The sequence below is a fragment of the Homo sapiens genome, chromosome 1 (assembly GCF_000001405.40).
Source record: "Homo sapiens chromosome 1, GRCh38.p14 Primary Assembly".
Lineage (NCBI taxonomy): Eukaryota > Metazoa > Chordata > Mammalia > Primates > Hominidae > Homo > Homo sapiens.
In genome coordinates this window covers 59014233-59033936 of record NC_000001.11, presented here as the reverse complement: position 1 = coordinate 59033936, position 19704 = coordinate 59014233, and the positions used below count along the sequence as shown (strand labels likewise).

Sequence of the window (19704 nt, the reverse complement as noted above, 5' to 3'; positions counted from 1 at the left end):
GCGTTCTTGTTCCCCAATTCTTGTTGCTTGTACTGTCCTCAACACATTCCTGTGGTGGAAAGGGAGAGAGAGGTGACCAGTCTTATGCCTCTCCCAAGTGGCTGCTGTGCCACTCACTGTTCAGATTGCTTCCTACCTCATGGGAGAGTGGAGGCGCGGTGGCAGGGGGACCTGCCTCTCCATTCATTCGTTTAACAATTATTGAACACCTCATTATTGCTAGACACAAAGGCCATTAACACTTGGTCCCTGATATTAGGTGCTTACACCTTAGCAGAGGAGACAGAGGCAACAAAAGAGATAATTATATTGCCATTGCCACTTAATAATTATAATGATGAAGAAAGGCAACAGATATTGTTGGGACACTAGGAAAAGATACATATCCATATGGAAAACCTGAGAATAAGTGCGAAACAATGCTTCCTGGAGGAGGTGTTGCCTGAACTGAGTTTTAAAGGGATGAGCAGGACTTCTTCATTCACCAAGTGAAGAGCAAGGGAAGGGCTTTCCAGACTTGATCAAAGGACATGGCTGAGGACCAGCATGGCAGGTGTGGAGGTACTGCAGACAGTTTGGTCGCTATATGAATTGTAAGTGAGGCGGGGCACAGCAAGAAGGAGGCTGAACCTGGTTAGCCCGGCTAAGGAGCTTATACCTCATTTGCCAGGCCAGCTCTCACACACTGGTACTCAAGGCCAGGCATGGAATCTCAGGACAAACTTTATTTGGCCCATAGAAGGTTTTACAGAATTCTGAGTTTGGATGCCTTTAGACAGCCAATCTCCATTTCACCGCAATCCCCACTGCTCCCCATTGCCTACCTATGGACCCGGCACTCATTTCTGTTTCCTCCTGCCTTCTGTAGACTCTAACGATGTGGTGCCTGCTCTGGGGAGTGGAGAGTCTCTGAAGGGTTTCCACCAGGTGATAAGCATGATCATGCCTTTGCTTTACAAAGATTCCCTTGGTGATGATGCAGAGGAGGATGGAGGGGTATCATGGAGACAGACGAGTCCTTTTGGAGGCTGTTGCAATAATCCAGGCAAAAGATGTCAAGGGCCTGCAATTGTGTCCTGGAAGAAAGCATAGTAGGCATGGCAGGATAACCCCACCATCACCCATTGCGGACCCTTGAGGCCTGGGGAAATATGGGAGAAGGTGGTGGGCCTGGAGCTAGCAATTCTATGTCGAGGACCACTTTAAATGACAGACTGTTGTAAGCATCCCTAACCTACTGAGCACCTACTATACCCAAAGGTATGACATTCATAGTCTTCTGTAATTATCCCAACAACCCTGTGGAGCTATTGCTGCCCCTCCCTGCACTATTCTAAGGCTCAAAGAGCTTTCAAGTAGCTCCCACAAAGGATCCTTGCTAAGCGGTTGTCCTGGAATTCAGAGTGAGAATTATGCGATTGCAAGGCTGGGGTTTTGTTCACTACAAGATACCTGTGTGGGTTTATCCTGATGTCATCAGAGTCCAGAGGCCACATTGGACCAGAGTGGTATTTGAGGAGTGTGACCCAGTAGGGGATCAGTATGGACTTTGGCAATTCCCTGACTGAGAAAAAAATAACTGAGAGAAAACTACCCAAGAGGACAAGATGAGAATGTGCATTTGGAGCTTGTTTATTTGGCTTGGAGTCTTAGTCCATCTGGGCTGCTGTAACAAACACCATAGACTAAATTTATTTCTCATGGTTCTGGATGCTGGGAAGTCTAGGATCAAGGTGCCAGCAGATTTGATGTCTGGCAAAAGCCTATTTTCTTTTTCATACGTAGAGCCTTCTAGCTGTGTCCTCACATGGTACAAGGGGCTAGCTAGCTCTCTGGGCCCTCTTTTATAAGGCACTAATCCCAGTTGTGAGGGCTCCACCTTCTAATAGCATTACCATGGGGGTCAGGATTTCAGAATATGAATTTTGGGGGACATAAACATTCAGACCACAGTACTTGGCAAACACCCCTCTACTTTTTCCTCAGAAGATTAGGAAAAGTTTCAAGTTTATTTACACATTAGAACACAAATGCCAAAGCAAGGCTAGATGTTGTACTTTGGGGTCTGCTGGCTATAAAATCTCTGAAGGAGAAACCAGGCTGGAGAGGGCCTCAAGTGGACGGGCCTGGGAGCTCCAGTCCCTAGCTCTGTTCTCTCTGTTCCCCTCCACCAGCTTTAAGGGGAATTAGAAAACCACCTCTATGTCCCAAATGCCAAGCACTCAAAGTCAGTGGTTCTCAAAGTGTGGTTTCCCAACTCGTAGCATCTACACCACCTGAGAACTTGCTTGACCAAATTCTCAGGCCCTACCCAGACCTCCTGATATGGTTTGGCTCTGTGTCCCCACCCAAGTCTCACCTTGAATTGTAATCTCCATAATCCCAACGTGTCAAGGGCAGGACCAGGTAGAGTAATTGAATCACGGGGGTGGTTTTCTCCATGCTGTTCTCGTGATAGTGAGTGCATCTCACAATATCTAATGGTTTTATAAGTGTCTGGCATTTCCCCTGCTTGCACTCATTTTCTCTACTGCCACCCTGTGAAGAGTTGCCTTCCGCCATGATTGTAAGTTTCCTGAGGTCTCCCTAGCCATGCAGAACTATGAGTCAATTAAATCTCTTTTCTTTATGAATAACCCCGTCTTGGGTATTTCTTCATAGCAGCATAGGAATGGACTAACACACTTCCTGAATCAGAAACTCAGGGGATGAGGCCCATCAATCTGTGTTTCAACAAGACTTCCAGGGACTGCGATGTGCACTCAAGTTTGAGAACTACACCAGTAAGTGATAATAAATATGACAACATATTTTTTTGAATGCTTTAATGAACCTTATCTATTTTCCTTGCAATGCCCTGGGCTTCCTCCAAATGAGTAAAGAATTTCTGCAAAGTCACTTAGGGTTCAGCAGAATCCCAGGTGTGGCCAAAGAATGTGCATGGGCAGGTAGACCATCAGTAGGTTAGAACTCAAGTCCCATGATGGCTTTGAAAAAAAATTGATGTTGCTTGATCTGATCTCAGCTTCCAGGGCACCTCTTCAGGGAAGGCTTCCCTGAGCTTCCTGGGCTAAGGTAGAAGCTCCTGTCACATTTTCCCAGAAGCATTCCAAATTTCTGCTTCATCATCACAGTGCTCATCATACTGCAAAAGGTCTATCTGTTTAATCATCTGCTTCCTTCACCCTAAGCTTTTTTTTTTTTTTTTTTTTTTTTTTTTTTTGAGACGGAGTCTCGCTCTGTTATCCAGGCTGGAGTGCAGTGGCTCCATCTCCGCTCACTGCAAGCTCCGCCTCCTTGGTTCATGCCATTCTCCTGCCTCAGCCTCCTGAGTAGCTGGGACTACAGCCACCCGCCACCACACCCGGATAATTTTTTGTATTTTTAGTAGAGACGGGGTTTCACCCTGTTAGCCAGGATGGTCTCGATCTCCTGACCTAGTGATCCTCCCGCCTCAGACTCCCAAAGTGTTGGGATTACAGGCATGAGCCACTGCGCCTGGCCACCCTAAGCTTAGTGAGGGCAGAGACTCTGGTATTCTTGTCCTTGAATCCCTGGAATCTAGCAGAAGGACACTTAGTAAATATGCATTTAGTTAGTTGAACACCAAGCTCACCTTTGCCTGTGGGGCCTTATGCTATCCCTCAGCCTGAATTCTTTCTCCCCAGATTCTGTGTGGCTTGTTTAGCTTCTCATTCCAACCATAGCTGCTAGGTCATCATCTGTTGACCACCCAACCCAACCCGGGCACTACGTTGGTCTCTACCATCCCCAACACTTTGTATTCAACACGGCACTTGATCACTGTTCCATAGTCTGCTGATTATTTTATGTTCTGACTCCTACTTCCTAGAGTGCAAGTTCCCTAGTCAGGGGCTGGTCTATCTTGCTCAACTCCACCCTCAGCACATTAAATCCCTCAGTAAATGATTTTTGAATGATGCATGACTTTTTACTGACTCATTTGTCAAAACACTCTGACATTATCTATGTATGATCATTTTAGAGATTGAGGAAAATAAACTCAAGAACTGGTGACTTGCCCAGGTCACACTACTGGTGGGTAGCAAAACAGCAGCTAGAATCTATAGCTTCTGGCTTTCCAGCCAGTCCTTGTTCCACTACATTCATTACTTCTTTGCTGGACTGAAAAGCTTAGGACTTTTCCTGTAAGTAATACGGAGCCATTGAAGATCTGAAGTTTCAAGGAAGTGGTAGGATGGATTCTCTTTTACTATAAGGTAAGTGCCTCCCTCTCCCATTTTGCCACATTGACTGATCTTATTTCAAAGCCATCTGTTTTTCCACCTGGGGGTCACAAAGTTACTGCCTCACACCATAAATCCACCGTTGGCATTTCCGTGCAGCTGTGTTAGTTGACAGCTCTGCATCACCAGCTCTGTGAAGATGTGGGAAAGCTGGTGCTGTCAGATTCCATCAGCAGAAGATAACCTGTGATTGCTGATGGTTGCACTAATTTACCTGCACTGTCGGGGAGGCCCTTCTGCCCTGTCTGGCATTTCCAGGGAAAGGTACAGTGGAGATAGAGACGTCACTTCAGGAGGCAGCTGATTTATGTCAGAGGATTAATATGACCCTATATCAAGTTCAAGTTTTGGTCAATCAACTCAGAGCCTCATAAACTTTAGAGAAAGGTAACCCCTTTGCTGTTACTTTGGCCCAAAAGAAGAGCACCAATCTTCATTAAAACATGTTTGATAACTGCACAAGGGGGAAAGGATTGATTAAACCAAGTGTAGTACTTTCATAGGATGGAATATTATGTGGCTATTAACATTTGACTTAAAAATAGGTAGAAATAACTGGATTCTTATAATAAATTGGTTAGAAAAATTGGTTACAAAATGTAAAGCACCAAATGAGCCTATGTTTGTTTTGGAAAAGTATAGATGGATAAATGAATGGGTGGATGAATAAAAAGATCATCGATATGTAAACAAATGTATAGTTAGATGGACAGACAGATGATTAAGATAGAAAGACACCAAAGAAAGCGTGGAAAGGCCAACATAAATATGTTAATAGTGGTTATATCTGGATGGCGGGATTAAGAGCAACTTTAAAAATCACTTACCTTTATTTCCTGGTTATTTAATAATAAACTTATATTGCTTTTGTTAACACAAAAGCATAGCTATTAATAACAACAATTCTAATATTCGGAATCAAGAGCTCATCTTTTACCTATGCGTCCTCTTTATACCCTCTTTACTCTTGTTACATGAATGTTCATAATACCCATTCATTCATCCATCCATCCATCCATCCATCCATCCAACCATCCAGGAGGTAGAATCTATCTGGACTTCAGGATGGTATTTAAATAATCCCTCAAGAAAGTTTTATATTGATTTCAGTTCCTCTCATGCCTCTGGGCTATTTTATTCTTCTTGTTGTTGTTACTCTTCTAGACCATGGAGCCCCTTTCTATATCCCATCATGCCAGCCTTTGTACTCTTGGTCAATTTCTACTCACGCTCTAAGACTTTCTTCAGACCTCACCTTTCCCTCTTTCCTCTTGTTGCTTTCATCCCCTCCTTCTACTCCCTCCTCCCTCATGGCCTTTGTTCTCCAATTGCACCTTGTACTTTGTACTCTGCCACCCTTTGTACCCCCGGTCAATTTCTACTCACGCTATAAGACTTTCTTCAGACCTCACCTTTCCCTCTTTCCTCTTGTTGCTTTCATCTCCTCCTTCTACTCCCTCCTCCCCCATGGCCTTTGTTCTCCAATTGCACCTTGTACTTTGTACTCTATTTGAAACTTTCCAATATGTATAGTTATTATCTATGTACTTGCTGTCTCTTGATTAGACTTGGTGCTTCCTGATGCAGAGACTATGTCTTTCATCTCTGCACTCAGGGCCTAACTGCCTAGTAAAAGCTAGTCTGCTTCTCTCACAAGTATGTTTCTGTCAGCCTAAACAGAAGATTGACCAACAACCTTTATACCATTCATTTAATCAACAGGCACTTACTAAGCATCTACTATATCCGAACCACAGAGATTAGTAAGACACAGTTTCTTCCTCCAGGGGCTCACAGCCAGGTTGGGGAGGCAGACATGGGCACATGAAAAAGAACCATAAACAGGCCGCCATAGGATGTCAGAGTCCTATTTCAGCCTAGAGAGAGGGCCTTCTAGGAGTTCAAGAGACCCCTATAGGCTGTCTGGACAGGGGAGAGACTAGATGGCAGGGGGAGGCAGTTAAGGTTTGAACAGAGACTTCAAAGAAGAGAAAGAGAATTTAGACAAACACGAGGGATGAGGGATGGCATTCCAGGTAGGGGGCACTGTGTGGCAAAGGAGCAGAGGTGGTGGGCTCCTGGCTTGTTATGAGTGTCCAGGCTGTGGGAGCTGAAAGGGCATCAGAATTAGTGTCAGCCCCTGGGGTTATGTCTAGCTAGGATCATTTAGAAGCAGTGCGACTTCTCAGAGCCTCAGCTTCTTCACCCATGAATTAAATATTAAATTATCTGCTTTATCTGTCCTATAGGGAAGTTGGGAGAATCCAGTGACTCACGGTGTGTGGAAATTTTTTGTAAATTGTAAAACAATACACTTATGTAATTCACAGAATAAGAATAATCAGCAATATGGCTGGAGGAAGGGATTTATAAGGAAAGAAAACACTTAGGCATGTTGGAATATTTAGAGCAGGGTTTGGGGAAGGCCTTAAAGATTCTGACTCTGACTTTTCCATTTAGCTCTCATGATCCCCAGTACCATTTCTCTTGTGAATTCATTGATCTGGTCCAGCCTGGGTTAGGTGCCCCACCTCATGTTCCCAATATCCCACTTACTTAGTAAGATAGCCTTTTAATTTCTGTTAACATCTATCTTCCCAGCCAGGCTGGGAGTTCATTGAAAGCACACATCTTACTTTATTCATTTTGTAGCCTCAGTGTCTAGCACATTATCTGGCACACAGTCGGGATTCAGTAGATGTCTGTTAGTGATAACTGTTTTAATGGCTACTCTTCATGAAGCGCTTACCAGTTGGCAGTCATTTTGATAAGCACTAAACAAGAATTTGCTCATCATCACAACAACCCTTATTCCCATTTTGCAAATAGAAAAAGTGAGTCATAGGAGGCTTAAATAACTCAGTCAGTTTCACTCAACACATGAGCATTGGAGCTAGAATTTAAGCTGAGGTCCTGAGGTTTCTGAGTGCCATATGTTTCTTGTGAATTCATTCACTCATTCATTCCACCAATAATGATCGTGTGCCTGTCTCGTGCCAGGAACCATTACAGGCTGAAGGAATGTGTCTGGAAGAAGTGATAAATGGGATATCAGATAATCTCATGCTCGGTGAAAATGTGAAACGTATGTGTGACCAAAGTACAGAGCATCCCAGAGGTGTGGGCAACTCAGCTGCGGGTGGGGGTGGAGAGAAGCCTCCAAGAGAAGAGGAAGAGAGCCAAGGGCATTCCATCCAGGTAGAAGAAAGGGCAAGTGGGAGGACACCAGGGTGGGGTGTAGCAAGTTGAGTCTGGATGTTGCAGTGAGTCTTCCTGATTAGACAGTGTACTTCTTGAAGGTGGAAACCGTGTCTTAAACATCTCCACTTTCATAACCCTGCACAATGCCTGCATCTGGTTGCTCAGTGAAAGCTTGGTGGATGACTGAGATGGGTTTCTACATTTTGAAAACAGAGCAAACCTCAAATTTCAGAAGAACACTAGAAGGCCGCACGAGAAAATGACTCCAATTTGCAAGGGGCAGCCAAGCATTACCAGAAGGAAATGAATTTGTGTATTTACTAAGAATCTCTTTGCTTGGCTCAGAATATCCTCAGATCTCCATCTCAAACCTGCTCTCCTGTTAAGAGAATGCACGACAAATTCTGTCTAAAGTACTTTGGCTTTTGCAAGTTGCTAGGATATTAATATATTTATCCACAACCACAGACACTTGGCTCAAGAACAGCCCACTCAGCCCTCACTTGAGGCTAGATCATGGGGATTCAATCAACATGAGGTCCTGAAGGGGCTTTTAAGTCAGCCAGGGACGTGGTCATTGCTTGGAGGTGCCACAGCTGAAGTTTTTCTCCAGGTTTGGTGATAAGAAGTTATTTTTGTTAAGTTGATTTGCTTTGGCCTCTTTTGAGGCTTCATATTCAGTTGTGATTTGCACCTGCCTTTTTTAACCTAAAAACACATGTGAAGGAGAGGAATGGAGGCATATTTTCCCACTCCACAGTCCCTGGGCTTCCAAAATGGGGATGCTTTGGGTCTAGATGTCCTCAAGGAAAATAGGACACTTGGGTTTCGGGGCTCATTACGTGGATGTGAAGGAAATATGGCCTAGAACCTGTTGATATTGTAGCCCAAGGGTCACATACTAGAAGACCACTACCTCTACAATGATTTCAGTGGTGGGCGTGGGGAGGGGAAGGGAACAGGCAGGGCTGTCTTTTGTTAAACTGTAGGATATAGGGATGACTCATGACCTATACAGGGCCAGGCATTTAGCTTTCACATGCCTCAAACACAAATCAATTTGACTACACAAGGGGAAAGCAAAATAAACTCACTTCCTGATTATTTTTTCTTTGGAGGGGGGTCTTGCCTTGTTACCCAGGCTGGAGTGTAGTGATGCAATCATGCCTCACTGCAGCCTTGACCTCCAAGGCTCAAGAGATCCTCACACCTCAGCCTTCCGAGTAGCTGGGACCACAAGCATACACCACCATGCCAGGCTATTTTTTTTTTTTTGGGGGGGGGAGACAAAGTCTTGCTATGTTTCCCAGGCTGGTCTTGAACTTTGGGCTCAAGCAATCCTCCCTCCTCAACCTCCCAAAGTGTTGGGATAACAGGCATGAGCCACCATGCCCAGACCTATTCTTTTTTTTTTTTTTTTTGAAGAGCTGCAACCTTCTGTTGGCATCACCAACAAGCATCATTTTTTGAGGCTCTCTTCATATAGACCCTGAGACTACAAAGGCCAGCACTGGTTCCTACCTATCGTGGTTGTATAATAAGTCACAAAGGTGTGCCATCCCACATTCCCACAGAGATGATAAAAAAGAATCTTCCCTCTGACTAAACTTATTACTTAAATGGATAAGTGATTGTCTATCAAATTATTGGCAGCAAGAGTGGCTTAATATCAATACTTCTGAAACTTTATTTTGAGCTGGCAACTACAAAAACATAACTGTCTCATAGCCCATAACCCTTACAATAGCTCAAGTTTTTTTCCTGGTAACTTTAGTAATATAATTGGCAACTAATTTAACCTGGAAGATTTATTGGCAAGTTATATCGCTCAAAACTGCATGTTTATGTCATAGTTTTAACTATAACTTAAAATAATTCTGTATAATGAAATGGGGGATATATATGGGAATAAATTCTATGCCATTGATTTCAATTTGATTTTCCAAATTGTAATGTTTGCCTTTGTGCTATAGGAATAGGATTAAATGGGATAAGACTAGAATTTATAAGGGCTGTATAAGAGGGGAGGGCAGAGATGAAACAACGAGGGTTATGATGATAGTGAATAGCAAAGAGTGAATTCTGTATGTTTTTGCTGTGGCACTGAAGTGAAGAGATACTAGCTTTGGCTGTTCACAAAATAGGACATCATGATTTTCAGTGTTTGAGAGAAAATTGATGGAAAAAGTTTGCAGTACTTGACGTGTATTTGCATGCACAAAATAAAATTATTTGTCCACCTTAAAAAAAAACTGCATGTTCCATGACACTTTACTAAAATATTTATTAGTGGACAGATAACTCCTACTTTAAAAAGTGTTCAGGTCTAAATCATTTGACTATACTCAGTGGTTTATATGAGCTTTCCCCAAAGCTTCCTTTGCCAAACAGAGTCCCCCAAGAAGATCATATGTGTAGAGGAGATCAGTTATCTGACTAACTCTGTGCTTGGTTTTGGCCATGAGGCTGCACAGAATCAAACGGATCATTCATTGATAAACATCATGAGGGTTCTTATAATTTTTTCTGAACATCCTGATTTATGTCTCATAATTTGATTTTAACATTTTAAAATCTTATAAAAACATAAAATTATGGCTTTTTTTTTTTTTTTTTACCATCACCAGTGATGCCTCCAGGCCCCTTCTTTTATTAAAGCCTAAAATGAGCCTTTTTATGTTTTTCACAAAAACACAACAAAACAAGATTCTACTATTCCAGTTCTGTTCTTGTTGAATTTAAGACACAATCTCTGACCTCAAAGTGGCCACAGAGAAAGGGCAGAAAACGATTTTCTGCACTGCACTTTTACCAATGGAAACTGGAGAAACAATACATACTCATGTGAACTCAGGTGTGTTGTAGCAGCTTTGTCAGGTCTGGTATGTTATAGAAATGTCTGTTAATCATATAAGTATAAATAGCATGATAGGCCCACAAAGCAAAGCCAAAATTGTCCATAACTGGTCTTCTGCTAGTTTCCAGACATGATTTCCATACAAGGATCCTCTGCTCCAGCCCAGTTGGAGTTTTCCCAGTGGTGAACACCTCTTCTACATCACCACCTCTGCCCACCTCTGCCTCCTTCATCCCCCTTCTCATCTACCCTGACCCAACCCTCTCCCTCCTTATATGTATTCACTCATTCAATCACGTATTCATTTGTTCTTTTAATTGATATCTACATCTATCCACATCCAATATCCACATCCAACTGGCAAGCAAGTGGTATCTGTTTCCTATTAACCGGAGTAGAAGTCTAAGCGCTTGTGCCCACTGCATGTTGGTATTGAAATTGCCACGAAAAACACAACACAGTCAAGCACTGGATGGAACAGAACTTTACTCACACAGAGAAGAGACAGAGCAAGATCTGCTTCACTAGTGGGTGTCAGTATCCCATGGACAGCAGGTCCATCCCAGTAGCTGACACAGGCCATTGAATGACCCCTCTTATGCTGCAGCAGAAGGGCCCATCCCCTGCCTGCAAAGGACAGATACAGTAGCGAAGTTTCTAAGTGCCATATGATGCATGCCCTTAAGCAAAGCAAAAGAGTACAAACAGAAAAAGATATTCCCACAAAAGGTGATAAGTCCAGCACAGGCTGAGGATTCTTTATTTCTTGGTAAGGAAGTCTTCCAGGCCCAATGCGCATTCTTAGGTGGCCAAGCAGGGGTGGAAAGACGGCATGCAAGAGACTGCCTTTCCCAACATACATCCCCACCTTTATCCACATTTGTACCTGCATCCATATCTACCCATATCCATATCCATTTCCATATCCATGTCTATGTCATCTCCCAGGTTGCTATCACTTGTTTTCAGTTATGTTCATCTGCCTGGTCTTGATTCATTTATTTTGATGGTGTCTTTTTTTCTCCTATATTACACCATGAGTTTCTTAGAGATAGTAGCATGATTTACTGATTTCTGCATCTTACACCAGCACACAGTAGATCCTTAAGGATTTGAAGATATTGGGGAAAGCAGCACCTTTGTCAGGCATTGTTCTGGCCAGTTAGGCCGCATCACCTTATTTTAACCCTGGTTACTCTATGACCTTGTCTCACTTCTGACCTTTGCACTGGCCGTCCCCAGGTCTGCCTACGGTTGGCTTTTTCTTTTCATTCTTATTTAAATTCAAAAGTCATTTTCTCTGAGAGTCCCACCCTGACCACCTGATCCAGGGATCCCAACCTGATTCCCCCACAAAGTCATTCTATATCCCAGGGTCCTCTTTCATTCTCCCCATAACACCTATCAATTCCTGAAGTTAGCTTTTTAATGAATTTATTGATTTGTCTATTGTCTGTCTTTTCCAGCCCCTTTCCCAATTAAAATATAAGCCCCATGGTGGCAGGGGTTAGCTTGTCTTTTTTGAGGCTGTGTCTGCAGCTTAGAGTAACGTCTGACACACAGTAGGTGCTCACTTATCATTCAGTGAAAGAGTAACCTCAAGCGGAGGCTATTACTATACCATTTTTTTTTTCGAGATTGGGTATCGCTCTGTCACCCACGCTGGAGTGGAGTAGCATGACCTTGTCTCACTGCAGCCTCCACCTCCCGAGCTTAAGCAATCCTCTCACCTCTGCCTCCCAGTTAGCTGTGTCCACGGGCACACCCAGCTATTTTTTTTTTTTTTGTATTTTTGGTAGAGATGGGGTTTTACCATGTTGCCCAGGCTGGTCTCAAACTCCTGAGTTCAAGCAATCCAACTGCTTCGGCCTCCCAAAGTGCTGGGATTACAGGCGTGAGCCACCTTGCCTGGCCTATAGCAGTTTTGGAGATGAGGAAGCTGAGGTTCATGACAAGGCCCATGTCGACAGATCTGAGATCCAAAGCCCTTTTCAAAGCCCAAGTCTCTTACAGGACGAGAGACTGCCACTTACCAAGCACAGTGGATACGTTGATAGAAATATGATGCTTCTACTTTAATCAGACTTTCTGATGTTTCTCTTTTTCCCTTGTCTGTTTTGAAACTGTAGACAAACAGGCATGTGAGTCTCTAATTCCAGAAAGTTTTATTTACTAGCATAATAATAAAAATAATAGCTTCAAAGTATGCTAAGAACTTTGTATACACTATTTCACTTAATCCCCACAACAAGCCTATTAGAAGGATAATTTAATCTCCTTTATACACATAGAAAAATAAAATTCAGGAAGATAAAATACCCTACCTAAGGTCAGTGGTATCAAAACAAGAATCAGAAGATACAAGCAGTAGCTGAATGTAGTGGCTCATGCCTATAATCCTAGCACTTTGGAAGGCTGAGATAGGAGGACTGCTTGAGACCAGAAGTTTGGGACCAGACTGGGCAACATAGTGAAACCCTGTTTCTACAGAAATTAAAAAAAAAAATTATCCAGAGGCATTGATGTGCACCTGTAGTCTTAGCTATTTGGGAGGCTGAGGCAGGAGGATGGCTTGAGCCCAGGAGTTCAGGGCTGCAGTGAGCTATGATTGCACCACTGCACTCCAGCCTGGGTGACAGAGTGAGACCCTGTCTCTAAAGAGAGAGAGAGAAAAAAAAATACAAATGGCTTAATTTGAGAAGTGAGTGATAAAAGACTAAGGAAACCAAGACTCAAACTCACATCTCTTTGCCTAACCACAGTGCTAGAGTAAACACTCCCTAAAGGCAGGCTCTGAACTGGGTACCAAGGATACGAAGACTCATTCCCTGACCTCAGCAAGCTCATGGTCTAGAAAAGGAGGACCCAATTTGGACAGGAAACAAACCAGGCACAAAACAAGGGGAAGAGGAGAATGGAGAAGGAGGCCTATGGGGACATGCTGGGCTCCTGCAACCTTAATGGTGGTAAATATAAAAGGGACTGACCTTCTAGTTTTTCAGTGTAACACCAGAGCTGTAGAGGGAGAAGGGCCACTAGGAGATTCCATTTCAGTGATGTAGCCAGCAGGAAAGCCCCCATAAGTGAGAGCCTGGAGAAGTATCTCCTACCCTGGACTGTGGCAGGAGGGAAAAAGAGCAGTCACTGTAGGGTGAATAGAGTGGTCCTTAGATTTAGTGTTTTACTTCCCCTCCCAGCCTTGAGCCAGCTGCTGTGACTCATGGCTCTTTGGCTGCAGGAAACCCGTTACAACCTAACTTTCTGCCTAGGTCAATTGGTTTTGGTTTCATTTTCTAGTCTGGAGTATGATCATGTTGTCTATTAAACTCAGAAATTTTCTTGACATTTTCAGTTTCATGCAGAATGAAAAAGAAGTGGTCTTGTGACAATGTGATCACCTTGCTGAATGTTCTAGAGCTAACCAGTGGGACAAGGGACAAGGGCTTCCTTATCAGGATGGAGTCTCGGTCTGTGAAGCCAGCAGTCCCAGTATTTGAAAAAAAAGTTGTCTCAGTCAGTGTTCTAGCAAAAAATGGATGGTACACTCAAACTGTGTAACTTGGAGGGAATTTAAGGAAAAGATCATTTACTTAGATGCAAAGGAAACTCTGGGGCTTATAACAGCAGGCAGTCATTACCTTCCCTATCTCTTAAAAGGCAAGAAGAGGGAGCAGTTCCTGGAACAAAAAGACGGGAGTTGTAGGGAGAGGGCTCCCCAAAAAGAGGCTGCCTTCATGAGAAGAAAGCAGCCAAGCCCTAGCAAAATCCTAAAAGGAGGGAGCAGGGAGAATAAATCCCCCATCCTCACTCTCCTGCCACTCCCTGCATCTCTTGCTGGTAACTTGCAAAGGCTGGGCACAATTGGGAGCTAGAAGGCAAGGGAGATCATTGATGGGGCCCATGCAGGTCGGCCTCCTAGGGTGCAGAGGTGGGTACAGAAGGGTAGGGAGATCTGGAGAGCCATGGAAACTCATGTAACATGTAACAATAGTTATGGCTGGTTGACAATAACTATACAAAGAGTGTCGATTGTGGTAGACAACTGCCATTGACTACTCAGGATACATCTGGCCCTTTCAAAGCACTTTTATGAACTAGCTCTTTTGATTCTCACAACAAGCCCTTAAGGTGGGCACTGTCCTGGACCCATTTTCCAGACAGGGAAACCAGGGATGAAAGAGGTTAAGCATTCGCTGGGAAATGAAGGAGTATGAACTCAAACCCAGATGGCTGTGGTTACAGATCCAGTGCTTGTTGTCCACTGGATGGGCCCATCTTACCCAAAATGATAACCGAGGAGCTAGGTCCTCAATCATTGCTGAAGGGTAGGGACATGAGTATGGCCTGGGGAACAAGAGGAAATAGTTCCATAAGCATTGTTTAGCATAAATGAGATCAAACAAACATGCTTCATTTAAAAGATGTTAAAATATCACCCAAGTGGGTGGGGGTGGGGAGACAGAACCAGAGAGAACGAGCGAGAGCGAGCATGCACCAACTGCACGTAGGATACGAGCCAAATGTCTAATTATAGCTGATAAGGCTCCTCCTGATCTGTGCCCTGCCTACTCATCTTTCCCTGTTCCCCGTGGGGCACTGTGTCCCAGCCAAAGGAAACTCTACTTAGTTCTCAAAATAGCCCTAGGTCTTCTGCCTGGGACAGTTCACCCCACCTTGTATTCGCCCACCTCAAATCCTATTTATCTATTGGGTCCTAGTTTTGGCCTTTCTCTTGCCTTTCTTCCTCTCTCCCTCCTTCCTTCCCCTAGCAAACACTTATCGGCATCGGGTGTGTGCAGATATAGTGGTCAGTGTTGCAGACCTGGGTCAATACTGGTCCCTGCCTTTATGGAGTTTCCACGAGGAAATCTTCCCTCCACGCCCAAGTGTAGGCTGGGGAGTCCTCCTTTGTGTTTTTGCGGCCTCTCTTACTCTGTTGTCTATCACCTGGTTTCGTGCCTGTCTCCTCTCTCAGACCATAGACTCATGAGGTTGGGACTCTGTCTGATTCTGTGGGTGTTCATTTCCTATCACTCCTGTAACAAATTACCACAACTTCACAGCCTAAAACAACACAAATTAATAATCTTACAGCTCCAGAGGTAAGAAGCTGGACACAGGTCTCACTGGGCTAAAATCAAGGCAGTGGGAGGCTTTACTGCTTTCTGGAGACTCTAGGGAAGAATCCATTTTCCAGCCTTTTCAACTAGAGGCTGCCTGCATTCCTTGGTTGATGGCCCCTTCCTTCATCTTCAAAGTCAGCCAAGGCTGGTGGGGTCTTTCTCACATCACATTTGGACATTGATTCTTCTGGATGCTGATTCTTTTGCCTCCTTCCTCCACCTTTTAAGGACTCTTGTGATTACATAGGCCCACTCAGATAAAGTCAGCTGATTAGCATCCTTAATTCCATCTGCATCCTTTATTGCCTTTTGCCACATTCCAGGGATTGGGACATGCTAGTAGGTGAGGGCAAAAATGGAATGTCTGAATATGCAGGATATGCATGTGTGTGGAACACATAGAATCTCTATATATGTCAAAGGCATGTGTCCAAGTAACACATGTAAGTATGTTGCATGTCCGCAAGAGCGCATGTGGACGTGTGTGGTTTAGGAGGTATACACTGCCTGATCGCATTAGTTGTGGTCATATGCATGTATGTGTGTTGTGAGGCGGGAGGACCACTTGAAGGAGGAAATATAAACATGCATAGGCTACCAAGTACTATTTTTCTGAGAGTTGTGAAATATTTGTGGTTTTTTCCCCATTATGGACACTTGCACTGCAGAGACCTGGATTTCTACGCTCATATTCACATGTACTGGTGACCACCCTCAGAGTGAAGGCAGCGTCCTCTCTGGGCCAGTAGCTCTTCTAGAAGGGCCTATATGAGTCAGCCTGCAACTCAGACATATTCAGTGCTGCAGGCAATGAAATCAATCAGAGCCTAGTTTCCCATTGTCCTGTGAAGGTAAAAGCCCCTGGCATGGAATCCTATTTAAATCCCCAGCTCATCCGTTAGCTAATTTCACAAATCCAAGAGCAGCAGAGCCTTAAGGATCATCTAACCTGCACCCTTCATTTAACAGATGGATAGGGCTTAAAGAGTGGGAACTTGTGCAGGTTGATGCGACCAACCAGAGCAGAATAGGAGGAGGGACCCCTATTACAGTTAAGATCTTTATGAGCTGACTATTGCTTGAGGTCAGGAATGTTGCATTACATGCTCCTAAAACATTAGGCTTCTGTAGAGCCCCCTGCTCCCCAGGTCCTCATGTCTCTAAGAGATAAAACCCAGAGATGGTGTTTCTAGACACAGCCTCTTCATTCCGGAGAGAAGCTTCTACTCACAATCTCGGTCAGATTTCTCACACAGGGAGCTTGGCTGGACATTCTAAAAACCTCAAGGAATTTTTTCAACCCATCTCTTAAAGCTTAGGCCCAAGCTAGAGCAAAACTGTAGCTTCTTGCTCAGTGTTCTTTGGTTCTGTGCTGGTCCCCTCAGCATTCCCAAGCATACATTCCTCACCCATATATATATAAACCGATGTGTTTATGCAACAATATTTCGGGTTCCTACTGAATATGGCCTCTAATGCTAGGTGTCAGGCACACTGTGGTGAACAAACTGACCTGGATCCTAGCCCTCAAAGGGGTGTATAATCATAGAACTTCCAGGTTACATCCAACTCCAGTCAGCCCCAAAGCTGTTTCACTTTTATTTATTTATTTATTCTTTTTATTTTTTATTTTTTGAGATAGAGTCTCGCTCTATTGCCCAGGCTGGAGTGCAGTGGTGCGATCTTGGCTCACTGCAACCTCCTCCTGCCAGGTTCAAGTGATTCTCCTGCCTCAGCCTCCTGAGTAGCTGGGATTACAGGCATAAGTCACCACACCTGGCCCTGCTGTTTCACTTTTAAACACAAGAGGGGAGAGAGAGAGAGAGAGAGAGAGAGGGAGAGAGAGAGAGAGGTGGACACCTGCATAGGAGTGAGAGTGAAGTGGGCAAAGAGAAAAGAGATCATGACAGCAAGAAAAAGACATCAGAGGCACACAAAGACCCAGAGGGAGACAGTGTGGTGGAAGGCTTGGCTGTAGTTGTGTGCACGCTGCTGTGACATCAGTGAAGCACAGCGGGTGTTCTGTAAATGGTCATGCCCTTCCCTAATAAGGCTGAGAGCAGAAACCATTCATTTATTCTCATGCTCTCAATGGATATTTATTGAGCATCCACAGTGTGCTAGACACTGCACCTGGCACATGTCGCATCCCTAACTTTGACCCAGGGGTCTACAGAGCAGGTCCTCACACCCCACCCCTGTACTGCAAACAGAGCAAGGGTGCTAATCCCTATCATACAGACAGGGGTTGGGCAGACCCCTGAAGTCACCTCCCACACAGAGTTAAGAGTTCTTGTACGACAAGGATGCTGGCTTCAATGCCTGGCATAGAGTAGGCTCTCTGAAGAGTGAGTTTGCATGAGTGAATCAAGCACTGGAATTTAGGCCTCTCAGACCTGAGAATCCTTACTGTCTCATTCAAGTCTTAGCAGGGGGACCCCTGCCCTCAACCCCAGAGCCTCTTTGCTATCCTATTCCTAAATGAAACATGTGCCAACAGGCACAAGTGAGATCATCTTGGAAGCATCCTGGGACTTCCTCCTATGCAACAGAAGCTGAGTCAGGGCCAGATCAGAGTCGGGGGAGGTGGGAGCCTGAGCCAGGCTGGCGCTTACTTTAATTCCTCACGTTTAAGGGACATGACAAATTTAGGCTTGACCCTACATGGGTCCAAGGGGATGGAGGTACTTGGTGGCAGGAGGATCCAGACAATCCGTGGCACCTGGAGTTAGGGGAGGTCCAAGCTGATTTCCCTTTTATTCTCCAAGGGGATCTCTGAAGGGGACACAATTTGCTGCCTATAATAGCAGCCCCTGCCCTGTTCCAGTCTCCTCAGTCACCCTCAGACCTAGACAAAGCTCTATCCATGGTGTTCCAAGCAATGCTGGAAGCCATGTGTTCACCCTCATCACCACGAGCACATCCCCACATGGGCCTCTCTTGAAACAGGCTCAGTAAGGCCTCCTATGTCCGTCTTAAGTCTCTCCCATAGGCCAGACTCTACAATGGGTAGAAGGGATATAGTGTGAAGATGTGTACAAGCTGCTTCAGAAATACTTGGAGGGAGCAGCACTCTGCTTAGGGGAATTCAGGAAGGCTTCATAGAGGAGCTGGGGTTTGAATTGGGCCTTTAAGCATAAGGAGGGTGTTTTTTTGTTTTGTTTTGTTTTGTTTTTCCAGCTAGAGAAGAGGGAGAAGAGCACCCTAAGTCAAGGGACCAGCATGAAGCACAGAAGAGCATGGCAAGTGTTTCAGGGAGTGGCCACATGTCAAAGGGCATGTGGATGTGGCCATTGAGTGGCAGAGCAAGCCTGGGACTGGCTCAGGGAGGGCTCTGAGTGCCACGCTCCAGGTCTTGGACCAGCTGCATAGGGTGAGAGGAACATAGGTGGTTTCTAAGCAGGGAAGCAATGATACTGCGGTCAGAACACTCTTGTAGCTCTGGAGGAGATTCTTTTCATGGGGGGTAGAGAGAGTGAGATTTGATGGAGACCAGCAAGGAGGCTGTAGCACTGGTCTAGGTGAGGGGCAGTAAGAGTCTGAATGAGGCAAATGGCTGTGGGGAAAGAGAAAGGTGGACAAATTTGAGAGATATTGGGCAGATAGAATAAACAGAACTCAAGGCCTGATCAGATAAGACAGCAGAGAGTTAGAAGGACTCCAGGCTTCCTGCAAGGGCTTTTGGGGATGATGGTGTCACCAGGTGGGGAATTTGGAGAGAGAACAGATTGGGGAAAAGAGCAAAAATTCCATTTTGAACAGGGTGGGTTTGAGGTTTCTGTCTGATATCAGGTGAGATGCTATGGCACCATAGGTGGTAGCACTATCCAGAGGTGGATGGAGGGAGAGGTTGTACAGAAACAAGCGAGGCACTGAGAACCATATAACAATGAGAGAAAGAAACTATACACCATCTTTTTGAGCCTCCATGTCTCCTAGAATTCAGGATTGCTATTGGTAGAAAGATTCTTCAGTCTTCAAACCAAATATGCAGACATCAAGATTAGGTTTACACCTTCTGCCTGAAACAAACATTTACCTATCCCAGAATCCCAAGATTTTGCTAAAACATACTAGCCTTTCATTTTAAAAATCTTTATTTCCTTAAAACACAACAAATTTCAGTCTGTGGTTGGAGGCAGAAAGAGCTCAACCTAAAATGAAAGCTCAGCGTTTGAGGCAGCCCTTTTCACAGCTGGCTCTTACCTACATGATATTGTCCAAAATTCCTTGTACAAGATTAGCAGATTTTCTC

General features: G+C 44.5%; 1 long non-coding RNA gene across 1 annotated transcript in view, besides 3 other annotated features; it reads right to left on the bottom strand.

Moving 5' to 3' along the window:
* The window catches only part of LINC01358 (long intergenic non-protein coding RNA 1358), a 67772-nt gene extending 54311 nt beyond the window's left edge, over positions 1-13461 (bottom strand). Inside the window, exons 1-2 of the long non-coding RNA NR_110626.2 lie at positions 13314-13461; positions 12360-12449 (exon numbers count right to left, since the gene is read on the bottom strand). This is a non-coding gene — a long non-coding RNA (long intergenic non-protein coding RNA 1358). The remainder of the gene's footprint in view (positions 1-12359; positions 12450-13313) is intronic.
* Positions 7295-7354: an enhancer, noted in NCBI's record as "active region_1104". NCBI's record gives its function as "activates an Ori minimal core promoter by ATAC-STARR-seq in GM12878 lymphoblastoid cells {active_cell/tissue: GM12878}" and the evidence as "EXISTENCE:reporter gene assay evidence [ECO:0000049][PMID:35858748]".
* Positions 13590-13699: an enhancer, noted in NCBI's record as "active region_1103". NCBI's record gives its function as "activates an Ori minimal core promoter by ATAC-STARR-seq in GM12878 lymphoblastoid cells {active_cell/tissue: GM12878}" and the evidence as "EXISTENCE:reporter gene assay evidence [ECO:0000049][PMID:35858748]".
* Positions 13730-13779: an enhancer, noted in NCBI's record as "active region_1102". NCBI's record gives its function as "activates an Ori minimal core promoter by ATAC-STARR-seq in GM12878 lymphoblastoid cells {active_cell/tissue: GM12878}" and the evidence as "EXISTENCE:reporter gene assay evidence [ECO:0000049][PMID:35858748]".